Raw genomic sequence first — 26,764 nt, forward strand, 5'->3', positions numbered from 1 at the left:
CTAATTTTGAGAGAGATTACCAAATTGTCCTCTATAGAAATAAATTATGCCAATTTACCTTACTGCTAACAATATATGAGTGGCTGTTTTTTCACATCTTCTCCAAAGCAGTGTTATTGAACAGTTTACTACTTGCCAATTTTTTTGTTTGTTTGTTTTTTTGAGACAGAGTCTCGCTATGCACCCCAGGCTGGAGTGCAGTGGCCCGATCTTGTCTCACTGCAACCTCCACCTCATGGGTTTAAGCGATTCTCCTGCCTCAGCCTCCCAAGTAGCTGGGACTACAGGCGCCTGCCACCACGCCCCACCATTACTTGCCAATTTTGATAGATAAAAATAGCACCTCATTGTAATTTTAATTTTTCTTGTTATAAGATTTAACACTTTTTTTCATATCTTTACAAGTTATTTGTTTTTCTTCTACCATGAACTGTCACTTCATATCTTTGCCTTCAGAAAAATTAGTCCTTAGTCTGTCATACGTGCTCCAAATATTTTTTTTCAGTTTCAAATATATTTCTTTTTTTCTTTCTTTTTTTGAGATGGAGTTTTTTCTCTTGTCAACCAGCCTGGAGTGCAATGGTGCAATCTCCGCTCACTGCAACCTCCACCTCCCAGGTTCAAGCGATTCTCCTGCCTCAGCCTCCCAAGCAGCTGGGATTACAGGCATGCACCACCATGCCCATCTAATTTTTTTTTTTTTTTTTTTTTTTGGATTTTTAGTAGAGACAGGGTTTCACCATGTTGGCCAGACTGGTTTTGAACTCCTGACCTCAGGTGATCTGCCCGCCTGGGCCTCCCAAAGTGGTGGGATTACAGGCGTGAGCCACCGTGCCCAGCATCACATATATTTCTAATTCTAGCAATACCATTTACTAGCTGCCCAGCCTCACATCTATTTCTAATTCTAGCATTACCATTACTAGCTGACCTTGGGAAAATTACTGAACCTCTCTGAGCCTACATTTACTTGCCAGTTCTCAATCTCTTATTTGAAACCCTGAGATAGATGTGTTTTAGATTCCGACATCTTTCAGCTCATATACTGCATATTACAGAGAAGCCAGGGAGTTTGTACTTATTTATTTATTTATTTATTTAGAGACAGAGCCTAGCTCTGTCGCCCAGGCTGGAGTGTAGTGGTGCCATCTTGGCTCACTGTAGCCTCTGCCTCCCAGGTTCATGCGATTCTCCTGCTTCAGCCTCCCGAGTAGCTGGGATTACAGGCATGTGCCACCATGCTGGCTAATTTTTATATTTTTAGTAGTAGAGACAGGGTTTCATCATGTTGGCCAGGCTGGTTTCAAACTCCTGGCCTCAAGTGATCAGCCTGCCTCCGCCTCCCTAAGTGCTGGGATTAGAGGCGTGAGCCACCTTGCCAGGCTGAGTTTGTACTCTTTCAATCATTAATATTTCTACAAGAAACATATGGATATTCTAGGTGGAATTAACAAAGACTAGAAATGTCGTCACGTCAGATAAATTTTGCCATCGAGTGAGCCACATCAAACTAACTTTGGATTTTCAGAGCTTTTTGGACTTTGGAATTATGCTTTAAAAATGTAGACCTGTGGTTCTTGTGAATATTCGATTAAATTAAACAATGCATGTAACATGTCTATACCAGTTTCTAAAACATAGGAAGCACCAAATAAATGATTTTTACTGTAGTTAAGAGGGAGGTGCTAAGCCCTCACCACTCTTGCTTCCAGATCTTTTAGATTGGCGTAGGGTTTTGCTTTGTGGAGTAGTTTGATCTTTGGGTATTTTCTTGTAAAGGCAATTGGGATATTTCAGGATAACAGAAGGTAAGCAGTTTTAGTCTTTGACGGTGTAGAAGAAAAAGAATGATTAGGTTTTGAAGCCAGTTGGATCAGGGTTCAAATTTCATAGCATCAGTTCCTTTTTAAAATGAGGGAAATATCTATCTTGCTGGTTGCTTTGAGGATTAAATATAACTAGATAGAAGATAAACTGCTCTGCACACAATATGTGCTCAATAAATGGTAGCAAATGTTTTGTTAAAGCATTCAGGAAGCCCAAGGTACAACCCTCTCTTGTTAACAGTCTGAAAGGCACAGAATCAGCCACTTTCATGACTGAAAATAAGAGACTTGGACAGGGTTCAGAGAAAGCATTTATTGTACATAAAGAAACAAAGCACTGTTACCATAATCTGCGGAAAAATGGCATCAGGCCCTCTTCTGTGATGTAATGTTGTGGGACTTTACTGGAGTGAGGTTTGGAGGGGGTATGGTGAGACCTGTGAGGAGCAGCTCTCCCTCCTACATAGGCAGAGCTGGCCATTTTCCCAGGTGGTATGGTAGCGTGAGAGCCTGTGGCCTCTAGCCTTCAGGAAGTTTCCATTGTATTGTGATTTTTAAAATGTAGGTTGTCCCTTTTATATAGAATAGCCTGAAGTTTCAAGTTTAATGTTATCATACTACAAAGTAAGACTTCTATCTGTTGATCAGTATACTCTGAGAACAGATCCTATCAATTTCTGCTTGGATTCCCACTGGATTCAACTCAGATATAAACCCTTAGGGAGGGCCTACCATGTGCCAGGTGCTGAAAATACAAGGACGATCTGATAAGGTTCCAGCCCAAGAAGGACTGGCAGAGAGGACAGATAACTGATAACTCTTAATTGGGAGTGTAGAGTGTGGGGTGATGTAATGGAGCTCTGAGTAAAGTGCTATGTAGGGTACTAAGAAAAGGAAAATTAATTTTTCTGGGGAGGCTACGGGAAATTCCTCCACAGAAGTGATACTTGATCCAATCTTTGGACTGAATCATCAGGCAAATGGATTTGAGATGGGATGAGAGGAAAGGGCTGAGGGGTGGGGAAGGGGGTAAAGGAGAGAACAATATTCCAAGTGAAAGAAGCCGCAGGGACAAAGATATGAGGCAGTAGGCACATTCATGCATTTGTTCAGATAGTCACTCAAAAATTTGTTGAGTGCTAGTCACTGTTCTTGGCACTGGGGACACAACAGGAAGCAAGACAGACAGGTCCCTCTGATGTTTACACAGAGTTTACACTTCAGAGCTGGATGGGACCAAAAAAAAAAAAAAAGCACAAAGAAATGAAAAAGATTATTTGAGAGAGTGATATGTATTATGAAGAAAATAAATTGGGGTTATGATAGAAAGGGGGCATGGCATGTATGAATGGGTAGTCCTCCTCTCTGGAGGAGGCTTTTTTTTTTTTTTTAAACAGAGTCTTGCTCTGTCTCCCAGGCTGGAGTGCAGTGGTGTGATCTTGGCTCACTGCAACCTCCGCCTCCTGTTGAAACGATTCTCTTGCCTCAGCCTCCCTAGAAGCTGGGATTTCAGATGCCCGCCACCATGCCCAGCTAATTTTTGTATTTTTAGTAGAGACGGTGTTTCACCATGTTGGCTGGTCTCGAACACCTGACCTCAGGTGATCTGCCTGCTCTGGCCTTCCAAAGTGCTGGGATTACAGGCATGAGCCACTGCACCTGGCATTTGACCTCAGAACCAAATGGTGAAGAGGCAGCCTTCTGGGGGCAAGGTATTCCAGGTGGAGGGGATGGCAAATACAAACACCCTACAACAGGACGAGGAACAGAAAAAAGGCCAGCTTGACTGCAGCAGTTTGAGCAAAGGACAGATGGTGGAAGACCAGAGAGGTTGGCAGGCCTGGTTACTAGGGCCTGTGGGCCACCAGAAGGAGTTTGTTTAGAAGTACCATCTGGCTGCTGCACAGAGAATGGGCTGGAAGCAGGGAGATCAGTTGGGAAGCTGCTGCTTATTCTAGGCAAGAGATGTTGGTGGCTCCAACCAGGGTGCAGCAGCAAAGGCAGATGTGTTCACAGCAAATACATATTTGTGAAGTGAAACTGACAGGACCTGTTGATGAACTGGGGGATGGCGGGTGAGGGGAAGGAAGATGTAATTAATTATTTCAAATTAATAATGTGAAGGTTGAGAGGTTAAGTAAGGTGAACACATAAAAGTGACTCTGTTCACAGCAGCAGTAGCACCAATATGGCAACAGCGGGAAGATGGGATTAGTGAGAGGTTGCTGGAAAATAATTCCGTGAAGGCTCTGGGAATGAATGAATTTGGCTTCACACAGAGGAGACAGAGGTACTGTTCCATTGACAAAGGCAGGCTGATAATCTGTGAGGCCAGGAATCTCTCAAACTTTTACCAGCAAGGGTTTTTGTTTGTTTGTTTGTTTAAGCCTTGGCTGACTCTGAACAGATCTGTTTATTTCTCTCTCTCTCTCCATCTCTTTTTGCTTTCCAGGATAAACATCTGTCTCATTTCACCAACTCTCCATTGGCCTCAGCGTCTCTCCTCTCAGTAGATTCTTCAGAATACTATCATCCAAGTCAAGCAGGGAATTCTGCTCATAGTAGGCACTGAGAAAATGTATTGAGGGACAATTCAAGTGCCCCCTCTGGGTTCAGAGAAGTTGCATCTATTACTTTGTTTCACTTACTTCATTGTTTCACCTCTCCCTTCTCCTTTACCAGCTCAAAATGCTTGGCTCTTTTTGACTGGGAGGAGGCATGATCAGGCTTAACACTTTTTTTGTTATTGGCCGGCTGGCTGGTTTTATTGTCTCCTGACCCTAAGGTCTGGGGCCTCTTCCAGTCCCCTGCATACACACAGCAGGCCTGAAGGGGTCCTCAGAGCTCCCTCTGAAACCACTGTATCAGGCTAGTCTTCTTTAGCTAACGTTATCTTTTATTTAAACAGAAACAGTAGCCACCAGTCTTGTTACATAACATACCAATATCCTAGGGTGTTAAACTAATTCAGCATCTACTGTTAGGAAGTGGTGATGTGGCAACACAAATATTCGCTCACACAATATTGCGGAAACGTTGTAACAAACATGACTTTCTGGCCCTACTTAGAATTTCAGAGCTGGAAGGGACTTGAGATCATCCTATTTCAACCCTCCTTGTTTTAAACTGTGGAAACCTAGGCCTGGAGAGACAAAGAAACTTGCTCAAGAAGCAGATCAGGGCGAGACGGCAAGCTCTTACTAATCTAAAGAATCCATCACATCTTAGATTAAGGATTAAATGCTAAACAGTTCTTGTTTGTGATTCCTCTCATCTGAAAGCATTCCCCCCCCCCCCCCGTTTTAGACTCTCCAAACTAGTCAGTTGTGAACCAGGACATAGCCTTTGTTTACACTGAAACTGCAAATCTGAGGCTGATATGTCAGCCCCACAATACTGAGGTATTTGGGGTGTTTTGTTGTTTTTACTAACCTTGGTGACTGGATTCACATGCAATAGATATTAACTGAATACAATTTGGTTGACCAAGCATATTTTAAAAACAGCTGGGTGGAGATGCAGGTGAGCCAGCATTCTGGGTGTACGTGCAAACCAGTGTGTGGAAGGCGGAGAGTCAGCTGCACCTCCTGCAGCACCTCACATCCTGATGGCTGCACAGTAAAACACTAGTTTCCTTGGAGGAAGAGTTCCCAGAGGAACTGCGGAACCCCAGTGTCTTGAGCGAAAGGCAGGACCTGCTTTGTTCACCTTGTCCGTGCCAACATTCTTTATCAAACTGTCCTGTTTTCCTGCTGGGAAACTGCCCCACTCCACCCACCTGGTGCCTCCCTGGTTTCCTGACTGCCACGAGGTTATTTTTTAACCTGCTCTTCCTTGAAAAGCACCACCCCGGTGACCCAGAACGTGGACTCCTCCCCTCTGGTCACTCGGACCATCCCACTCTAATTACCGTCATCTGCCTCTGAAAGTCATGGAAAATTAGCAGCAATGGGGCGGTCTTCAATTCCACTAAGCCCCTTTCGTACTTTTAATTCGCCGAAATTACTAGCAGGGCAGAGAGAAGAGGGGAAATGCCTGGCTTCTGAGCAAGGCATGGGTGGGCTGGGTGCAACTAGCACTATCATTTTCTTTTAATTTTATTATTATTATACTTTAAGTTTTAGGGTACATGTGCACAATGTGCAGGTTTGTTACATATGTATACATGTGCCATGTTGGTGTGCTGCACCCATTAACTCGTCATTTAGCATTAGGTGTATCTCCTAATGCTATCCCTCCCCCCTCCCCCCTATCATTTTAAATTCAATTACCCGGGGCCTGAGGGCCACTTCTGGTAACTTAGGCTATGGCTTAGGGCGAGGTTTAAAACGTAAGAAAGGAATGACTATCTTGAGCCTCCAGGGAGATGCACTGCAAATCCCCCCGCCCCAAAATACAACCCAGGTTCTGGGAATCCCAGCCCTGCCCTGGGGACAAACCCCAAACTCAAATAAACGGCCTCCTCCTAGGCGCTGAGAGCCCACCCAGCTTTGGCACTCTGGGTCCCTGCCCTCCGGCAAGTTGCCGGGACGGGCGGGACCCTAACCAGCCGCTCTCCCCTAGCCCAGGCTGGGCCGGGCCGAGGGGTGGGGGAGTGGGCGGTCGGGGAAGCGGGGGGCGGAGTTCCGTCCTCTGATGATTGGCTCTGCGCGGATGGGCTGCGGCTGCGCCCGGCCAACCCGCGGCGTGTTGCTATGTGCTGAGCCGAGGGGATAGGTGCGGGGGCGCGTCCATCACGGGGTAGCCCCCGGCCCGGACCCGGAGGGATGCGGAGTGGCGGCCGCGGCGGTGGCGGAGACTGTGGCTTTAAGAGCGTGCCGGGAGCCCGAGCCCCAGCCGGGCCGCGCTTCGCCGCTGCGCACCCCAGCGGAGCCAAGCCCCACGCTGGCCGGACAGGGCCGCCTGTCGCCGGGTAAGTGCACCGGAGTGCGGCGCGGGCCGGGCGCGCGTGGGCGTGGGGCGCGCTGTCAGCTCGGGCTCTGGGTCCCCGGCCCCGGCCTCCGGACTCCCCCGGCCGGGCCTGCGCGGGGTTGGGGGTGCGGCGCCCTCGGTTCCGCGTGGGGTCCCCGTGGGCGCCGGGGACGGGGAGCGGCCGCCGGGCCACGTGACCGGTTTGTTTACAAACACTGCCGGGCCCGCGGCCGCTCGCGGAGGGAGCCCAAGGGCGCGGGACCCCCGGCCGGGGCGGGAGACGCGCGCCAGGGGCTGGGCGAGTCTGCGGGGCCAGGTTTGGGGCGGGGGTGCGGAGCTGGAATCGCCGCTTCCTCCTCCGCGTCGTCCCCATGGGTTCGGACTCCATGGGGTCCGGGTGGGGCTGGGGACGCCCTCCGTCCTCTCGTGACGCCGCGTTTCCCTCGGAGAGTCCTGGGGACACTTAGGTCCAGGGGCGCCGCCCTGGGGGCCTTCCACTGTGGGACTGGGCGCCCTCGAAATTTCTCGGAGCGCGTCGTCTGCCCCGACCCGGGTCGAGGTAACCGCAGCCGAGTTCCTCCCTGGCCGCGTCTCGGCGCCTCCCCGGTGTCCTTGCCAAGGGGGTGGGCGCGAGGTCCTGCCCGACGGAACGCGGGAGCCTCTGCCGCGAGCGCCTCCCCGGAGCTGGCGCTTAGGGGCGGCCCCGACCTTTCGCCACTTCCAGTTCACCCTGCTTGGCCGCCGACCTCCTCTGGTGTCTTTCCCGGAGTGGTGGGCTTTTCTCCGGTCTTGGGGGCGTGCGGGGGTGGGGGACACCTGTTCTTCTGGACTTCTTGTCCGGAAGATTGCTACCTCTGCCTTCAGTCTTAGCTGCGAGAGTTTAAAAAGCCAGGTGAGCGAGTGTCTTGTTTTCCTCCGCTTGGAGCGGAGCTGCACCCTCGCCCGCCCCCCAGTCCCGCCGCTGTGAAAGGCCCCAGAGAACTGCTCCGAAGCTTTGCTGGGGTTTTTGCTTTCTGGCCTCCTTGCTGATTTGCTGTCCTTGCAACTTGGGAGGCTCTTGAGTGAGTCCTTGCCTTTGGTGAATCTGAAGGCTAACGAGACAGCTGTCTTTTCCTCCCTGCCCTTCCTTCCTTGTTCTTCCTTGTTCCAAAGCATTGGGCAAGAAGGGTAGCGGTCAGCTTCCCTGTGCCTCACAGAGCATTAAAGATGCAAGAAGTTCAGTAAACCGCCTCACTGGCTCTGGGGTGGGACTTGATTTCACATGGTTATTGCTCCCCCGTGCTTTCCTGCCTCTGGGGGCCACAGGGCCTATGAATGGCTGAGTCTTGCCTCCGGTGAGGAACATTTTCATTCTTCTAAACTGTGTTTTGAGTGGCTGCAAGTTCTTTTCCCCAGAAACAGGCCCAGCCTGGGGAGAGCTGTGCAGACTTCCCCCTTGGCACCATCCCCTGTCCCCAGCTCCATGATAGGATCTCAGGCAGGAGTGCAGTGGGAGCCTCATCCGCTTCCTCAGTTGGGCTTTGCCGCCGCAGGTTAGCATTCAATGACAGCATTTCTTGGATCTGTCTTGATATTTCTGTGCTTGAACCAAAATCAAGAAGCTTAGAGTTAGGGGTGGAAAATGGAAAATAAACACCATGCGCGAGAAAACTGTTTTCCTTCTTCCCTCTAGGAGCATGGTTTTCAGACTTTGAGTGGGACCTGCACTGCATACAGGTCTGTAACTGAAATAAGTTTCAGAGAACAATAATTACCCTTACTCCCTGCAGTGTGCTCTGTTTTAAAGGTTTTTTTTTCTACTTCATTTAAAAAAATCAACTGCTGGTTATGACCCATTAATTTGATTTCCTGACCAAGCAGGTCCTGACCCATAGTTTGAGAAGCATCGCTTTAAGGCAGAGGTCCTCAAACTTAAATGTGTATAAAGATGACCTGGGTAGTGTTTAAAAATAGTTTGTCAGGCTACTCCGCAGATGTTTATTTTCAGTGGGCCACAGGAATCTGCATTTTTACCAGGGGACCTATGAGATTGTGATGCAGGTGCTTGATAAGAGCCCCTGATCTAGTGGGAACTGGAGGCAGTGAACAATGAAAGGTATTAACTTGGCTCTGAAGTGCAGTCAGGTATGTGACCCCATACTCTGCAATCCCAAAATCACTCAGCTGCCAATCACACTAGCTTAGGCTTTGAAAAGTCTAAGGGCACAGTATTGTTTGTTCTCAACTGCCATGAAGCAGTTGGCTTTAAGAGACTGGTATCCCTCCCTCTCCACTCCAGCCTGTTTGAGGGCTGCTGCACAGTGTTGTGTACCAGGAGATGTTTCTAGGTGTGTGGGGGTTGGAGATGTGAGTAGTGCCGATGAGTTGCGTGAGTTGCTGTGCTGTTCATAGATTATGTGAATTCTTCATTGTCGTAATGATTTTCACGGTTTTGAGGCAGCCACACAGTCATTGTGCCTGGGAGATTCACAATTGGCCAGCTGAAGAAGAGGTTGATTTTGTTTAGTATCCGTGTATTCCAGACTGCATAGCCTCGGGGGAAGGCAGGCAGGTGACTCTTTTTATTTGGGGGGGGGTGAGGAGTCAGGAGTTTGTCTACCATCAGGTCTTAATAAGAGGCACAAGTTCCCATACCTCCTGGGCTACCCCAGTCCTGGTTACTTCCCATTGTGATGGCCCAGTCCCTGTGTGCAGGCGAATCTTGTTAGGCATCCAGTTTCTGATGCTGTTATCTGCCTTCAGGCACAAACACACACACACACACACACACACACACACACACACGCCTGATGCAGCCACAGGTTAGATTTTTCCCTCTTAGTTATTGTGTCCAGACATATTGGTAGGATACATTTATTTGAATTAATGAAAGCTGCGATTTAGCTTCAAAAAGGACTCTATCCAAATTCAACTTCCACTGTAGCCCTTCTTGCTAAAGGTGTGCCTTATGGGAGCATCAAGCGTGGGATTTTAAAAATTAACTTTAATAATGTTCAGTTTGGCCAAGCAACTCACATTCAGAATGTTTAGTTTTGAGCATATGGAGAAAAGAAAGCAACAAAAGGATGGCAAGGGATAAGATGTCCCAGGATTGGAAAAGCCAGAAGGAAGAGATGTTGAAGTGAGATTCAGATGGAGGATGTGATCAATTCCCATTGTAAATTACCTTGGCATTTCCTTAGGGTTTGTCAGGCAAACCACTAGGTGCTCTGACAACTGCATTCCCCTGAGCATAAAAAGGTATAAAGTTTTGGAAAAGGAAGAAGCATCATTTTCAACTTGAGCCTGTAATGATGGAAAGCCAGCCAGGGCCTGCAGGCTAAAGATATTTTTTAGAGTTGTTAGTTTTCAGTGACATTGTCCTTAACAAAAGGTGATACACTTGAGTCTGTGAAGTATTGTACTGCCTGAGTTTGTTTACCTGGGAGCTGTGGATATAGCACTGGAGAGCTTAAAAGTAAATCAGAATTTGCTATTCTCTTGTCGCCAATTTGCCAATGGCTTCCCATTGCCCTTCAGATATAATCTAATTCCTTTCCTTGTAGGCACCACACGGCTTGTCCTACTCCCCCATCTTCTGCCTCATCTCTTACCAATCCCCAACCTGTCCACTCTGCTTCTTCCTGCTTGAGAAAAGCTCGCCTTTCTGAGGTTTCTGAAACATGCCATACTTAGGTTTGTCATAGGGCTTTTCTACTGGTAGTAACTCTTTCCAGGATTCTTTCTCCAGATTTTTCTTTTCTGTTTGAGACAGGGTCTTGCTCTTGCCCAGGCTGGAGTGCAGTGGTGTGATCTGCTCACTGCAACCTCTGCCTCCCTGATTCAAGTGATTCTCCTGCCTCAGCCTCCCAAGTAGCTGGGATTACAGGCGCACCCCACCACGCCCGGCTAATTTTTGCATTTTTAGTGGAGACGGGGTTTCACCATATTGTCCAGGCTGGTCTTGAACTCCTGACCTCAGGTGATCTGCCTGCCTCAGCCTCTGACAAGTCTTGGGATTACAGGCATAAGCCACCGTGCCTGGCTCTTTCTCCAAATTTTTGCGTGGCTGACTCTCACTTGGTTCTCAGAGCTACTTCCTGACGGACCAGTTATCTAGAACAGCTCCTCCCTTCTCTGCCCCTCAGCCTCTCTTAATCCCCTTAACTTTATTTTCTTCAAAGCACTTTAATACCGTCTGGAAATATATTATCTACCTGTTTGCCGACACGGAAGCTTGAGAGCTTCTCTGTCTTGCTTGCTGCTGAAAATGCTTGGTGTGGAGTAGACACTGGATAAGTATTTGTTGGTTGAATGCGTGAATGACCAAGAGAACCAAGGTTTAGAATCTCTAGAGGAGGAAATATACTTTAAGAGGAAAAGATAATTCTCTTTTTCTGGGATAATATAGTATGCTCTCAGAATTACTTTCACTTGCACTATTTCTGCTTTTCACAATAGTTTTCATTCCTTTATTCCATTTATAGGTTGGCAAAGCCTCCAAAAGCTCCATTGTTATTTTGTTGTCATTAATAATAAACAACTCTTACCTACCCCAGTAACCTTATTCTAGGCCTCGCTGTTTGTTTTCTTCTAACAAATGTTAGCATTTCTATCAGTAATCACATTTCATTAATACCAGGAGGCACTATATGTGGGGCTAAGAGCCTGGACTTTGGAATCAGAAAGACCTGGATAATTAGCTCTGTGACCTTGGCAATCTACTAAAATTCTCTAAATCTTTGTTCCTTATTTTTAAAATGGTACTAATAATAGTTTGCATCACACGGGACTGATGGGAGGATTAAATGAGACTGCAGGGGAAACCAGGTACAGAGCCTGGCACCTAAGCACTCAGTGCTAGCTATTAATAACAGCACTAACATTAATAGGTGGATTCCCCTCTCTCTGGCTCAGAGGAATCCATTCTCAATCCATTGATTTGGGAGTGGACAGTGTGTGGTGGGGTCAGAGGAGGACTTCTTAATATAAGTAAGTAAAGACTGAAAATGCCACTTACATCTATTTGAACTGGAATGGAATTTAGAAACCATGTATTCGCAAGCTGACTGCTGCCCAACACCCACCTGGAAGAAGTAACAGTTACAGAAGTTTTTGGAAGGACGAGTTTTCTATCTGCTCCTGTGGCGATTCTTGGTTTTAGACTTGATTAGGCTGGGCCATCTGCATGTGCCATTATGTCAGCCCCTCCGTTGTTATTTTTACCGAGTTGGGCTTCAGTGTCTGCCCTTTGCTTTATGGAAGGACACTGTCAGAAATAGCTTTATATAACTTGTTACTGTAATTCTTATAAGGGTTTATATTGTTGAAGACTAGCTACAGATTCAATGCCCCCTTTAAGAAGTTCATGGGAGAAATTCTTTTTTTTTGTTTTTTTTGTTTGAGACGGAGTCTCGCTCTGTGGCCCAGGCGGGAGTGCAGTGGTGCAATCTCGGCTCACTGCAAGCTCCGCCTCCCGGGTTCACGCCATTCTCCTGCCTCAGCCTCCCGAGTAGCTGGGACTACAGGCGCCCACCATCACGCCCGGCTAATTTTTTTTGTATTTTTAGTAGAGATGGGGTTTCACCGTGTTAGCCAGGATGGTCTCGATCTCCTGACCTCGTGATCCGCCCGCCTCGGCCTCCCAAAGTGCTGGGATTACAAGCGTGAGCCACCGCGCCCGGCCGGGAGAAATTCTTTTAGAACCTAATGTCTCTGAAAAGCTTTGCCTCTCCTGAAAACCTGGTATGCTTTTTCTTTTGTGGAAATTGGAAATTTATAGCATGATAAATGCTATAAATGCTATAAATGATAAATGCTTTTTGCTTTGGCTACCAGGAAGTACAGAGTGAAATTTGTGGCTTGATTTTAGTGACTATGTAGGGCCCTGCATCCTAATTTTTTCTAGTGTTAACCTTGTAATTTTTGTTTTCTATTAATTAGGTATATACTGGGTTGGGCATTAAAGTCTGTTTAGGTGTTAACATTTTGGAGATATACACACTGAGGTTCAAACAGACAAAAAGGACTTGCTTTAAGACATAGTGCTAATTAGGGCAAAGCGGAAGCTATAAACCATACCTTCTGTTTCCCAGACCCAGGCCTCTTCCTACTGCTGCGCATTCTGGAATAATACCAGCTCCTCATCTAAACCCTAAATAGCCCATGTCTCCATTCTAGGCAGAGTCTACCTTCTCTCTGAAACGAGACAGAGCAGCATTCTGCTTGCGAGGTGCAGCAGTGCCACCTGCATTCCTGTTACCTGGATGGCTCAGCAATACCTGGGTCTCCTGAGCTACAGAGGAGTCAGCCCTCCCCTGTGGTCTTAAAAGCAGTGTGTCTAGACTGAGTGGCTTTGATTCGAAACTGGATTGCTGGCTCCATGTGAGCTTACCCTCCAGTGTCTGGAGTTCCTTTGTCTGTTTCTCACTGGGAAAGGAAGGCTTGACATCCAGTTGGCAGATGGGTGCCACTGAGGCTCAAACATGATCTTCTGGGTGTGAATGGTGACCAAGTTCAGTTGCACCAGAGAAAGTGGCTTTGTTTTACCTGATACGAAATTTTTAGTTCTAGGAAATACTGACCTTTCTAGTGATTGGTATTTTGTTTTCTCAAGACATTCTGTTCAGGAGTACCTGAGGCAAATAAGTGTAGGCACGGAACAGATCCTGCCCATCAGGAATATTTTGATCCCTATTTTTGAGATGGATTGGTGAAGAATGAAGAGGATTTACACATACAGAAACATTCCATGGGGAACAGTTGTGCAGAGGCACTGAGGTGTGAATATAAGAGGGAGTGTATGGGGAATGTTCAGGAAGCACGTGAGATGGGGAAAGAGGGCACTGGGATGTAGTTCTCAGCTACCATGGCTGCAGATAGAGCACTCCGTGGGAGTGGACTGTGACTTCCTTCACAGTAAGGGTGAAGAGCACTGCACAATGGCTAATTGCCTCAGATCATAGGCGTCTCCAGGAGGGAGGCTATCTCTAGGGATTCTCGAAGCTGGCTGCCTTAAGAATTCATCGTCCTGCTAAAGGCCTACAAAATCAGAATTTTCAGGATGGGGAATTTGTAACAAAAACAAGAAAATAGTAACAACCCCTGAAAAACTGTTTCCCAGGTTCTTCTAAAGCAGCCAACCCCACACATGACTGAGGTCTGGAAACCACTGAGGTCGTGCTTGATCCCTCTGGCAGGAGCTACCAAGCAGCCTTGGCTTTTGGCCCCCTTGCCCTTGCTCTTTCTGTTTTTGCTTTTTCCTTTGTGTTGCCCCTACACGTCATCCAGGATATCTGCGCCCCCCACCCCCACCCCCACCCCAACGCCTTGTTTCTTCTTTTACCACTTCGGTCTTTGTCTGTTGGGGGTCCCTCCCTACATTGACCCATTGCCAAATGAACCATAAGAGAGAAATGAATTAACTTTCAGGACAGGTTACGTTAATGGTATGAACGTGCACATTACATAAACCTAAATTAAATAGGGCTTGCAGTTTGTTTTGCTCGCGGGGCTCTTTTTTTCTGTTAGGATTTGAGGAAAAGTTATCCCCACACTTAACTGCAGCCTTAAAGCTAAGTGCTTCATTAGCAGAGAGGTACAACAAGAGCTGAAAACTCCCTTTTTCTTGTGCCTAATCTGTTGTCCCACCTTCTGGCTCAGGTTATTCCCATCCCTCATTTGTTTTCTCCCATTTCGGCAATTTAATGTTGAAGCATTGAGCTGAGAGTCTGAGGGTGTTTAGAGAGAACTTGACGTCTTCATTTTGCATTATGTTGAGTTGACTTAGACTCTCCCATTCTGCTTGAAGCTCTGGAAGGAATTCAGGGACTGAGAATACACTTCCTCAGACTCTTCTCTGGCTGGTTTGGGGAGGAAGGATCTACTTGCAAGGGACGGGGGATTTGAATCCTGGTTTTGGTCCTCTCTAATTGTGTGATCTTGGGCAAATTGTTCCTTTTTCTGTGTCTGGAAAGCAGGGGTCATCATCATAATGCCTGTCTCCCTGGGTTGTTGTGAGGATTAATTGAGATATGACCCCTCATAGACGCATAACAGGGAATTAATAAATTGTAGAATCCTGGAGGTTTATCTGCAGTTGTTCCAGGGTCTCTCTCCCAAACTGCCCCCACTTCCTACCTTCCTCCAACCAAGGCTTACTGAGCTTTCTGAGCTCCTCTTGCCAAGCTTTGGGCTGCGTATGAGGGCTGATTAACCAGACATGGTCTCATGTCTGATTAACCATGGCCAGGAATGGTTTGCAATCTAGTGGGAAGTCTGACTGAGAAACAACTAATTTTGTGGAACTTTTTTTTTTTTTTTGAGATGGAGTTTCACTCTTGTTGCCCAAGCTGGAGTACAATGGTGTGATCTCAGCTCACTGCAATCTCCACCCCCCCAGGTTCAAGCGATCGTCCTGCCCCAGCCTCCAGAGTAGCTGGGATTACAGGCACCTGCCACTACGCCCGGCTAATTTTTGTATTTTTAGTAGAGACAGGGTTTCACTACGTTGGCCAGGCTGGTCTCGAACTCCTGACCTCAGGTGATCCACCCGCCTTGGCCTCCCAAAGTGCTGGGATTACAGGCGTGAGCCACCGTGCCCAGCTGGAACTTTATTTATTTTTTTTTTTTGAGACAGAGTCTTGCTCTGTCGCCCAGGCTGGAGTGCAGTGGTGCGATCTCAGCTCACTGCAGGCTCCGCCCTCCAGGTTCACGCCATTCTCCTGCCTCAGCCTCCCAAGTAGCTGGGACTACAGGCACCCGCCACCTCGCTCGGCTAATTTTTTATACTTTCAGTAGAGACGGGGTTTCACCGTGTTAGCCAGGATGATCTCGAACTCCTGACCTTGTGATCCGCCCACCTCGGCCTTTCAAAGTGCTGGGATTACAGGCGTGAGCCACCGCACCCAGCCGAACTTTTTTTTTTTTGAAATGGCGATGTCTTGCTCTGTTGCCCAGGCTGGAGTGCAGTGACGCCATCTCGGTCACTGCAACCTCAGCCTCCTGGGTTTAAGTGATTCCCCTGCCTCACCCTCCCAAGTAGCTGGGATTACAGGCGTGTGCCACCACGCCTGGCTAATTTTTGTATTTTTAGTAGAGACGGGGTTTCGCCATGTTGGCCAGGCTGGTCTGGAACACCTGACCTCAGGCTATCTGCCCGCCTCAGCATCTCAAAGTGCTGGGATTACAGGCTTGAGCCACCGCACCCGGCTGTTTTGCGGAACTTTAAAAAATTAAGGTGGCCGGGCGCGGTGGCTCATGCCTGTAATCCCAGTACTTTGAGATGCTGAGGCGGGCAGATAGCCTGAGGTCAGGTGTTCCAGACCAGCCTGGCCAACATGGCGAAACCCCTGTAATCCCAGCACTTTGGGAGGCCGAGGTGGGCGGAGACCATCCTGACTAACAAGGTGAAATCCCATCTCTACTAAAAATACAAAAAATTAGCCAGGCGTGGTGGCTGGTGCCTGTAGTCCCAGCTACTCGGGAGGCTGAGGCAGGAGAATCGCTTGAACCCGGGAGGCGGAGCTTGCAATGAGCGGAGATCGCACCACTGCACTCCAGCCTGGGCTACAGAGCGAGACTCCGTCTCAAAAAAAAAAGGCCAGGCGCGGTGACTCATGCCTGTAATCCCAGCATCTCCTGAGGTCAGGAGTTCCAGACCAGTCTGGACAACATGGCAAAACCCGTCCCTACTAAAAATACAAAAATTAGCCGGGTGTGGTGGCGGGTGCCTATAATCCCAGCTACTTGGGAGGCGGAGGCAGGAGAATTGCTTGAACCTGGGAGGCGCAGGTTGCAGTGAGCCAGATTGTGCCATTGCACTCCAGCGTGGGCAACAAGTGCGAAACAACGTCTCAGGAAAAAAAAAAGTTATATTAAAAAGGTAAACAGGCTGCGTGCATTTGCTGGACCTCAAAGGATCAGAGGCACGTGGTGGAAGCACTTTTAAGAAGGAGGATTGAAGGAGAACAGGGACTTCGATTCTTGTTAAAATCTATCTGCTATTCCCATTCAGAGAAGAAACCCAGAAATGTGCTGTAGAGTGAGTCTCCTCCCTTTCCCACCCCACCGCCTTTCCTCTCCCTCAGTAAATGGCACCACTGGATGACAGTTTAATAATTCCCAGAACAAAATAACTTCCAACTTTGGGCTGGCGATGGCTGGGTCTTTAGACATATAAGCAACCTTTTGAAAGTGCCTCTTCCCTTTTTTGCTCTTCAGTTTTTAAAAAGTTCAATTTCCAAATTCCAATTGCGGAAAGGCGGGGAGCCCAGCCACAGATGTCAGAGTCTAGAGTTTTGGATTTATTTGAATTGGGAGATTAAAGTCAGAAAGCCAAAGGCATGCTGACAGCTGAACAACAGAATTGTATTGGCAGATTTAGGATGGGTGGTTTGTAGCTAATTGGGGCCCCAGCTGTGCCCTGGGGGACCAGCAGTTTAAAGAGAAATCAAGGTCACACAGTGCCCAAAGTCTACAACACATTCATGTATTCAGCAGATATTTGAATGTGGGAAACACAGATGACAATCAAATAATCACCTCAGTAAAAGTACAGCTGTGGATAGTGCTATATGTGTGGCATAGGGGAGCCTGACTTAGTTGGGGCTGGACGAGGCCAGGGGGAGGGTTCCCTGGTGCAGTAACTTCTGAAGATAGGCCGTATCTCTTACCCTATTTTCCAAGACCTTCTTTTCTTCCTAGATCTTGTAAATGGCTGTTTTTCATTATACTTTAAGTATAGCCCTGTCTGGGGACAGAAAGATGGACCAGATTTTTCTCTGGGTCACAGATCATGGGAAAAATCTATTTGTTTTGTTTTAACCAGGATTATCATCTCTGAGCATGATCAAATACAAAAGGAAGGACTGGTGTTGAAGGGCGGCAGTCTCTTGGGGCTGGAGGAAAAGGGCACATTTGGCTCTCTCGTCTGCATAGTCAAGGCAGGGTTGAGGGATCCCTTGCCTTCTTGGTTTGAATCAAGTCTGACACTTCATTTTTTTGTGACTCATTCTTGCCTGGGGTAGCAGTTCAGACTGTCCTGGGGGTTTTGTGGGGACCACCTTGGAAGAAGACTCCTAGGTTGGAACTCTAAGCTTTTCACTAGGGGTCTGGAAGTCCCTGCCCGCCTGGGAGGGTCACTTGGGAAGCTAACCCAAGGGAGCATACACAGACTGTGTGAAGGGCAGAGCAGGAAACGTTTCTGCTGTCAGACAGCAGCCAGGTAAAAGCATCAGAGGCTTGTGTGGTGTGGCTCATCTGGGTAATTTCATGGCCCTACTGAGTTTCATACTCTATCTGCTGGCCCAAATGAGTTGGCATCACAAGAGTTTACTGGCTTTTTAACTTTGTAGAGCATTAATGGTGTGTAAGTCCCATGTAATGCCCAGATTGGATATTTTAAATGTACTGGAGAGTGGCAAACTGAGTAAGGTGATTTAAAAAATACCAGCTTTACATGGCAGTGTGGTTTCACTGATGGCCATTCATTTTACTCAGTTAACATTTATCAAGGATTTCCAGTATGCTGGAGCTGTGAGTCCTGTAGACACTACTGGGGGTGGGGTTGGGGGGATCTGGAAGGCCGGACCTTTGACTGCAAGAAGTTCCCAGTCTTATGGGGATAGAGACTCATGAACAGTGTGATAAAATGCCATTCCAGAGAAAAATTAAGTTTTTTGTGTGCTGGGAGAAGGGACCACCAGCTCTGTTAGGGTCCTACTGGAGCTGAGTATTAAGGGATGAGCAGGCATTTACTCATCCCTTAACGAATAAGGTAGGCAGAGAAGGGTAGGGTAAGGCATTATAGGAGCTGGAATAATGTAAGGAGCACAGGATAATGACTGAGTTTGATCTGTAGGAAACAGGTTTGGAGTAGGGTGGGGAGGTGATGACAATATAAGGAGAGTTGGACCCAGGCTCTTGGTGCCACCTGAAGGGTTGGACCACATCTTGTAAGCTACTAGGAAACCACTGGAGGTTTTGAAATGTGAAAGTGTGTGATCAGGTTGTGTTTTATAAACAGAATTCTAGAATGGGCTGGAGAGGTAAGAGCTGAGTCAGGGAGACCTATGGGAAGCTGTCGCAGTAGTCCAGGATGAGAGAAGATGGGGTTCACAGTGCTGCTGCTGGTGACTGAGGGTGGCAATGGGAGGGTGCATCTAGGAAGCAGAACCAACTGTCTAGGGGACAAATGAAGTATGACATAGAAGGGAGAGCATAAAGGGGGTTTCCTGCTTGGGCAACTGGAAGCAGGAACAGAATTGGAATGAAGGTGACAGGAGTCTCACTACATTGCCCAGGCTGGTCTGGAACTCCTGGGCTCAAATGATCCTTCCACCTCAGCCTCCCAAAGTGCTGGGATTACAGGCATGAGCCACTGTGCCCAGCATGGAGACATCCTTTATAAAGGGGTCAAGGGTTCAGGAGTAGAAGGCACAGGTTTAGAGGGCTTGAGAGGGTGTGGGTAAGAAGGCCCAGGGGAACAAGAAGTCAGAGGCACATGGCAGAAGCACTGCCAAGAACGATGGAAGGAGAACAGCCGGGGAGATTGAGGCTCAAACAGAGAGGTAGGAGAAGAATCCAGAGAAACACAGTAAAGCCCATTAAGGAGCATTTCAGATGAAGGCAACTGAAGGCAGCACCAAGTCCAAATAGTGTTAGCATTCAAAAGTATTAGTGTTTGTGGCTCACATCTGTAATCCCAGCACTTTGAGAGGCTGAGGCAGGTGGACCACCTGAGGTCAGGAGTTCGAGACCAGCCTGGCCAACTTGGCGAAACCCCGTCTCTACTAAAAATACAAAAATTAGCCAGCAATGGTGGTACACGCCTGTAATCCCAGCTACCCGGGAGGGTGAGGCAGGAGAACTGCTTGAACCTGGAAGGCAGCGGTTGCAGTGAGCCAAAATCACGCCACTGCACTCCAGCCTGGGTGACAGGGCAAGACTCCGTCTCAAAAAAAAAAGTATTAGTGTTTGGACTTGGCATGTTGGAGACTGCCCGTATTTTTGTTACCGAAAATCCTGGTTATGATAAATGATATTCATGAAGCATTGCCAGAAGGCTCTGTAGCTCTTCCATCCCTCTAGAGCAGTGGTCCCCAACCTTTTGGCACCAGGGACCGGTTTTGTGGAAGACAATTTTTCCACGGATGTGGGGGATGGTTTTGGGATGAAACTGTTCCACCTCAGCTCATCAGGCATTAGTTAGATTCTCATAAGGAGTGCACAACCTAGATCTCTGGCATGCACAGTTCACAATAGGGTTCGCACTCCTATGAGAATCTAATGCCGCCACTGACCTGATGGGGCGTTTTGAAGGCTGACAGAGGAATACTTTCTCCTGAGGCAGGATTCGGCAGGCAGAGCATCACTACTACATGGAACCAGGACTTTAAAGGCTGAGAGAATTCTAGAGATCATGTAGGATTATCATCTGACGTATAAGCCCCCGAAACCAAGACTAGACCCTGCATCCAGGGTTGAGATGAATGGTTGTTTTTGTTTATGAAGGAGCGTGGTTTCTTGAGTATCCAAGCTGGTTTTTATTACCAGCTGGATGGATGTGAAGTCCCACCTGGTTCCAGTGCTGTAAAAGAGGTGTCTAGAAAATGATGATTTTCCTGTGGGCCTTGCACATCAGCTCCTTGGCAGCTTTAATAGACGATTTTCAGAGAAGTTTTAGCAGTGGCCCCGTCCTGAGATTAGTAGAGTCAGTGTAGACCACAGAGATAACTTTTTCAATACAGTAAGTGATGGAGTGGTCTGTGTTAGGAATGACAGCAATAATATCAGGTCCCCAGCTAAGCCACAGAAGCCTACTTAAACCACAATGTACCTTTAAGTCGATTAGTTTAGGCCCTAACCTCCTAACCACCGTGAGTCAACCTGGGGGACGGGAACGCCATTCCTTTTGGTCTTGTGAATAGGAACAATTCCTGTGCTTTTTCTCCCTCACTGGTAAGGGTGACTGTAGCTAATCGGGATTATTGAGTATTAGCCATGTGCTGGGTGCTGTGCTGAATACTCCAATTGCGTTATCTCATTTCATCCTTCTGTCTCCTGCAGGAGGTAGGCTCTATTGTTATCTCCTTTCAGGCAATTTGCCCAGTGGTAATGTAGCTGGTGAGAAGAACCAAGACGGAATCCAGGTCCACCCACCTCTAGATCCTGCACTCTTAACCGCTGGGCAACACTGCTGCCCACCTCTCTCATTGGGCGGGCACAGGTCTCTCTGTGCTCTCTGCTCTAGGCTCAGGATTCTGGGGAGAGTAGGATGGGGAAGGAGGACAACTTTCCCAGTATAAAGGCCTTCTCACAATTCCACCTCTCTCTTTTTTCTGTCTCCCACTCCCAGAAGTAGCTTGCCTCCTCCTTTCTGCCGCCACCACCATTTAGTGCCTCCAGCCAGGGCTGCTTTCATTCTTCACAGATGTTGGGACAGGCTATGGCTACTTAGTCACGTTCCTACCCTCCCGTCCTTAAAGTTAGCACAAGGTCCCTTTCAGTCTTTCTAAGAGTTTTTAATTTGTTTGTTTTTTAAACCTAGACCAGCAGTGTAAAGAATAGGCATGGATGCCAATGACAGGCCTTTGAGTGGCACCCAGGAATTGTGGTTTTCCTGGGCATCACAGCACGGGATGAGAGTGGAGGTGGTGAGGAGAGAATTGGGTTAGATGGAGTCTCGGGACGCAGAGTAAGTTCGCCTCCTTCCTCCTTGCTTGGAGAGGGAGGGAGGGGCCTTATCACATGTGCTACCTGTGCAGGTAGGTGGACCTGTCCAGTGAGCAGCCAATGGGAAGCAGAGGAGGTTCAGTTCAGTGATGGTGTTTAGCTTCTACTGTGTGTCCTGTGCTGCTGAGTTCATGGGGTACAAAGATGACTCTTGGAGCCTACCTCTAGTAGAGGATACAGAGGCAGAAAGGGTAATTTCAATTTCAGTAGGGTTAAGATGGAGGTGAGCACAGGAGAGGCCACTAAGCCCGGTGTTGAGGTGACATTTGAGCTGAGTTTCAATGGACAAGTAAGGGCCTTGTGAGGAGAGATGGAAAGGTTGTATCAGCCTGAAGGAATGGCATCAGCAAAACCATGGAAGCGTAAAGTGCAAGCGTGGTGTACTGAGGGGACCTACAAGGAGTGGTACAAGTTGCCAAATGCCTCCTAAGAGAGTTCCTGACACATGGTAGACTCTTAAATGTCATTTCAATAAATGGAGATGGAGGATAAGGTATAGAGGATGAGATGAGTCCGAAGCTATGCATGGGCGTTAGTGGTAATACACACCTGGAATGTATTATGTGGTTACTACATGCCAGGCACATATGCTGAATACTTTTCTACTAACTTAGTTCATCCTCATATGAGCCCTATGAAGTAGATATTATTGTCTCTATTTTTTGTGAGGAAAGTGAGGTCCAGAGAGGTTAGGTAATTTGTCCAAGGTCACACAGCTAGTAAATGACAGAGCTGAGATTTGAAACTAGTTCCAGGTCCTTTTTTTTCTTTTTTCTTTTTAGGGTTTCACTGTGTTGCCCAGGCTAGTCTCATACTCCTGGCCTCAAGCAGTCCTTCTGCCTCAGCCTCCCGAAGTGTTGGGATTACCGACATGAACCACTGTGTCCAGCCGGTCCTGTCTTTTTAACCACTGCTCTGTGTTGCCTTTCTGAAAACTTTAAGAGTGATGACGTGGTCAGATCTCCTTTTTAAATAGACAACACTGGCTGGCATGCAGTGGGTGGATTTGAGGGGGAAAGAGGCCCAAAGGCCTGCCAGGGCTGTATAAGTCAGAGATGCTTACCTTCAGGCTGTTGAGAGCATGGCCACTGAGGAAGCACCTCTTAGAAGGACCTCAATACTAACGCATGCCTGTGGTTCCTCCAATATTATTGCCGCCTTGTCTCATCTTGAAAAGAGAATTCTAGATTTGGGGAGATGTCCCAGTGGTATCATCTCAAAGAGATGCTTGAAGACAAGTTAAAGGATCCTAATGGAAGGGGCAGGCTGGAATTTGGCTACACACAGGCATCAGGTTCAACATAAATAGGAAAGAGGAAAAATAGGATGTTCCCAAAGGACCCCAAACTCCATGTCTGTCTGAACTCTCAGGCCTTCTCCTTTTTCTTTTTCTTTCTTTTTTTTTAAGCAGCAGCATCTGTTTTTCTCCCCCATTGGCCATTAAAAATAATAGATGAAATTTTGGTGTGTATTGTGCGCCAGCTCTGTGTAAGCACTGAGATCATCTCACTTAACACCTAGAACCCCTGTGGAGGTTGGTCTTATTAGAGATAGGGAAGCTGAGGGTCAGAGTGGTTTCGTAACTTGCCAGAAGTCACGCAGCTAGAAAGGAGCAGAACTGGTTTGTGTGAGTCCAGAGCCCACTTCTTTTCCAGTCTTCACCTCCTCTCAGACACCCCATGGAAACAACAACACAGAGGCATGCCTTGGGGCCAGCCTTGTCTCATGTCTGGAGGAATTCCTTCCTGTAGAGAGTCCCACTTCTCAGGTCAGTTTCCGTGGCTCGGCATGTGGTGGTCCAGCCTTGCTTCCACATCATTCCTCACGTTCCTTTGTGGCTTAACAAGAGCGTCCCATCTCCCGCCCCTCCATCCTGGTGGCACTCAGAAGGTTCTGTTTTGAGTTCCAGCGGCAGTTACTCCCTTTTGGGGAAGGCCTGTTGGCCGGGGAGGCGGCATGGGGTGGGGGCTGGCCAGGTTGGCATGTGCTCCCTGTGCATTTGTCTCTCGAGGTGGTGTATCGAAGATCTTTGTTTTTAATCATAATATCTCACATATTTTCTTTCTGTGCTGCTCAGTGAAAGCTAGCTAGGGGTGGCGGCAAATCTTCCTTTAATTTCCACTGTGATGGATTATTAGTTCACTTAAAATGGTGTTTAATTTGCACATGTGCCCTGAGGCTTTTAAATATTAAGCTCATTTGATGACTGTTGGAAATCAATTTGGAACTCCACAGTTATGTTCTATGAGTTGGACTCATGAAGCCCCATGGACCCTGTTGCCCCATTAACAGGGGCTAAAGTTCAAAAATTAGAATGATGAGTTAAGCTCCATACTCTTAATTTCTTCCTTTAAAAAAAAATCAATTTTGGCTGGGCGCAGTGGCTCACGCCTGTAATCCCAGCACTTTGGGAGGCCGAGGTGGGCGGATCATGAGGTCAGGAGATCGAGACCACGGTGAAACCCCGTCTCTACTAAAAATACAAAAAGTTAGCCGGGCGTAGTGGCGGGCGCCTGTAGTCCCAGCTACTCGGGAGGCTGAGGCAGGAGAATGGCGTGAACCCGGGAGGCAGAGCTTGCAGTGAGCCGAGATGGCGCCACTGCACTCCAGCCTGGGTGACAGAGCGAGACTCCGTCTCAAAAAAAAAAAAAAAAAAAAAAAAATCAATTTTCTTTCCTAAGAATTGACTCAAAGAAGCTTTTAAAATTTTTGCTTAAAAGGGAAGAAGACAGTGCAGATGTTGATTTTTTGGTCCCCATCTCTCAGCTTGTTCCTCTCATGCAGCCTGCCCTCCCCTTTCTCAGCCCACAGGCCTTTTTTTTCTTTTTTTTTTTTTTTTTTTTGTTGAGACGGAGTCTCGCTCTGTCGTCCAGGCTGCAACCTCCGCCTCCCAGGCTCAAGTGATTCACCTGCCTCAGCCTCTCGAGTAGCTGGGACTACAGCTGGGACTACGGGCGTGCGCTACCATGCCTGGCTAATTTTTGTATTTTTAGTGGAAACAGGGTTTCACCATGTTGGCCAGGCTGGTCTCAAACTCCTGACCTCAAGTGATCTGCCTTGGCCTCCCAAAGTGTCTGGATTACAGGCGTGACCACCTTCCCCGGCCCCCACAGGCTGGCCTTTTGTTTTGTTTTGTTTTGTTTTGAGACAGAATCTCGCACTGTCACCAGACTGGAGTGCAGTGGCACGATCTCGGCTCACTGCAACCTCCACCTCGCAGGTTCAGGCGATTCTCCTGCCTCAGTCTCCTGAGTAGCTGGGACTACAGGCACACGCCACCATGCCCGGCTAATTTTTGTATTTTTGGTAGAGACGGGGTTTCACCATATTGGCCAGGATGGTCTCAATCTCTTGACCTCGTGATCCGCCCGCCTCAGCCTCCCAAAGTGCTGGGATTACGGGCATGAGCCACTGTGCCTGGCCCTACAGGCCTTTCTTGATCCTGCTTCTCCTTGCTTTCTACTTACCTCCTCTCATTTCTTCTAGTTTGTCCTGTACCAGTTGAACAAGATTCATATTTCAGCAAGCCGCTTTTTCTTCCCTTTTTCTTTTCTTTTTTTTTAATGCTCTGTCACCCAGGCTGGAATGCAGTTGGAGTGAACACTGTGCACTGCAGTCTCAACCTCCTGGGCTCAAGTAATCCTCTGGCCTCAGCCTCTCAAGTAGCTGGGATCACAGGCGCGTGCCACCATGCCTGGCTAAGTTTGAATTTTTTGTAGAGTTGAGGTCTTGCCGTGTTGTCCAAGCTGGTCTCGAACTCTTGGGCTCAAGCAATCCTCCTGTTTCAAAGTGCTAGGATTATAGGTGTGAGCCACCGCATCTGGCTTTTCCTTTTTTCTTCTTAGGAAAGGAGTCCCTCTCTAGGATGCCTGTTTATTCATATTTAAGAGCAATGGGGAGCAGAGTGACCCTGCCACAGCAAAATGTAAGGCTTCTTGTCTAGGCCTTCCAGAGCCTTTCTAGCACCAGACAGCCTGGGCCATTGCTTATATGGTAGATTTTTCTCTTGTCTTTTTAGGTTCAGAGCTGTGGTGAGGATGGAATGTGCATGTGTGTGTTTGTATGTGACACACTCACATTTAATACAAACAAGAAATGCTTATTTCACAGAAGGTAGCTTTGAATAAGTTTCGGGATTCAGATTTGAAGCTGAACATAACCAGAAACTTCTACCTGTAAACTTTTTTTGGGGGTTTCCTTCAGAGGAGAAGTGAGAGAAGAAATAATTCTACTCTGGGGAAATGTATAATTTAGAAGCTGTCTGCATGTATAAGAAAACAGACTCTGTATCTGCTCTCTAAACTCAGCCTGGCAGCCAGGGTCATTGTTTCTTTTTCTCCCCTCTGTGTTTGTGTAAGACGGATGGGTCTGGTGCTCTTTGTGCTCCCCAGCGGGCAGCTAAGGCTGTGGACTCTAGCAGCATTTGGCCTGGGGGAAGCCTACTGCTTGTTTTCCCCTGCCTGTCTTTCCTATTTCCTTACTCTAACTCACCACCCCTTCCTTTCCTGGATGTGCTGTCTATCCTGAAATGGAACAGGAGTATTAGAAAGGTGGAAGGGCCAGGTGCGGTGGTTCACACCTGTAATGCCAGCACTTTGGGAGGCTGAGGTGGGTTGATCACCTGATGTCAGGAGTTCAAGACCAGTCTGGCCAACATGGTGAAACCCTGTCTCTACTAAAAATACAAAAATTAGCCAGGCGTGGTGGCGGGCGCCTGTAATTCTAGGTACATGGGAGGCTAAGGCAGGAGGATTGCTTGAACCCGGGAGGCGGAGGTTGCCGTGAGCCGAGATCATGCCACTGTACTCCAGCCTGGAAGACAGAGTGTGAGACTCTGTCTTAAAAAAGAAAGAAAAAGAAAGGTTGAGGGTATTTCAGGAAACTCCAAGCAGGGTACTTGGCTCTACCACCCTTTCTATCTGTAACACTCTGGCACCCAACAGCATTGGTCTTCTGTGGGCTGTTTTGTCATTCACCTTACCTGCTACCCAGAGTGTGCCCAGGGTGTGATGAAGGGGTTCTGGATCCAAAAGTTTATGTATCTTTCGTCCTATCTCCTGTGATGGCCAGACCTAACTGAGGCAAAGCCGAGAGAATTATTTCCCACTTCCATTTCCTTCAAGTGTTGCTATAATGTTCACTGTAAACTGATTTTACATCTTTAAAACTAGAGGTGGGAGACTGAGCAGGGGCGACATCATACATTGGCCCCCAAAGGTCTGAATCCCTTCAACAGTCAGATAGCTCACATATAATTGGTCGCTTTGCATGAGGAGCTTCCTTGGCTCAGGGCTGCAGAAGAGAAGTGCTCTCAC

At 47.8% G+C, this 26,764-nt stretch overlaps 1 protein-coding gene across 2 annotated transcripts in view, besides 2 other annotated features; it reads left to right on the top strand.

Moving 5' to 3' along the window:
- Positions 6,335-6,854: a silencer, noted in NCBI's record as "silent region_8778". NCBI's record gives its function as "represses an Ori minimal core promoter by ATAC-STARR-seq in GM12878 lymphoblastoid cells {active_cell/tissue: GM12878}" and the evidence as "EXISTENCE:reporter gene assay evidence [ECO:0000049][PMID:35858748]".
- Positions 6,569-26,764, top strand: part of YPEL2 (yippee like 2) — a 70,075-nt gene continuing 49,879 nt past the window's right edge. The window contains exon 1 of one of the 2 annotated variants that reach the window (NM_001005404.4): positions 6,569-6,738. The gene's annotated coding sequence lies outside the window, so the exon portion shown is untranslated. Of the gene's footprint in view, positions 6,739-7,453; positions 7,630-26,764 lie in introns of those variants that run through there. The other variant, XM_017024621.2, reaches the window with a different exon arrangement.
- Positions 7,065-7,626: an enhancer, noted in NCBI's record as "H3K27ac hESC enhancer chr17:57409512-57410073 (GRCh37/hg19 assembly coordinates)". NCBI's record gives its function as "activates a minimal SCP1, AML or CMV promoter by ChIP-STARR-seq in naive H9 embryonic stem cells {active_cell/tissue: H9 hESC(naive)}" and the evidence as "EXISTENCE:reporter gene assay evidence [ECO:0000049][PMID:30033119]".

Source organism: Homo sapiens, chromosome 17 (genome assembly GCF_000001405.40).
Source record: "Homo sapiens chromosome 17, GRCh38.p14 Primary Assembly".
Classification (NCBI taxonomy): Eukaryota; Metazoa; Chordata; class Mammalia; order Primates; family Hominidae; genus Homo; species Homo sapiens.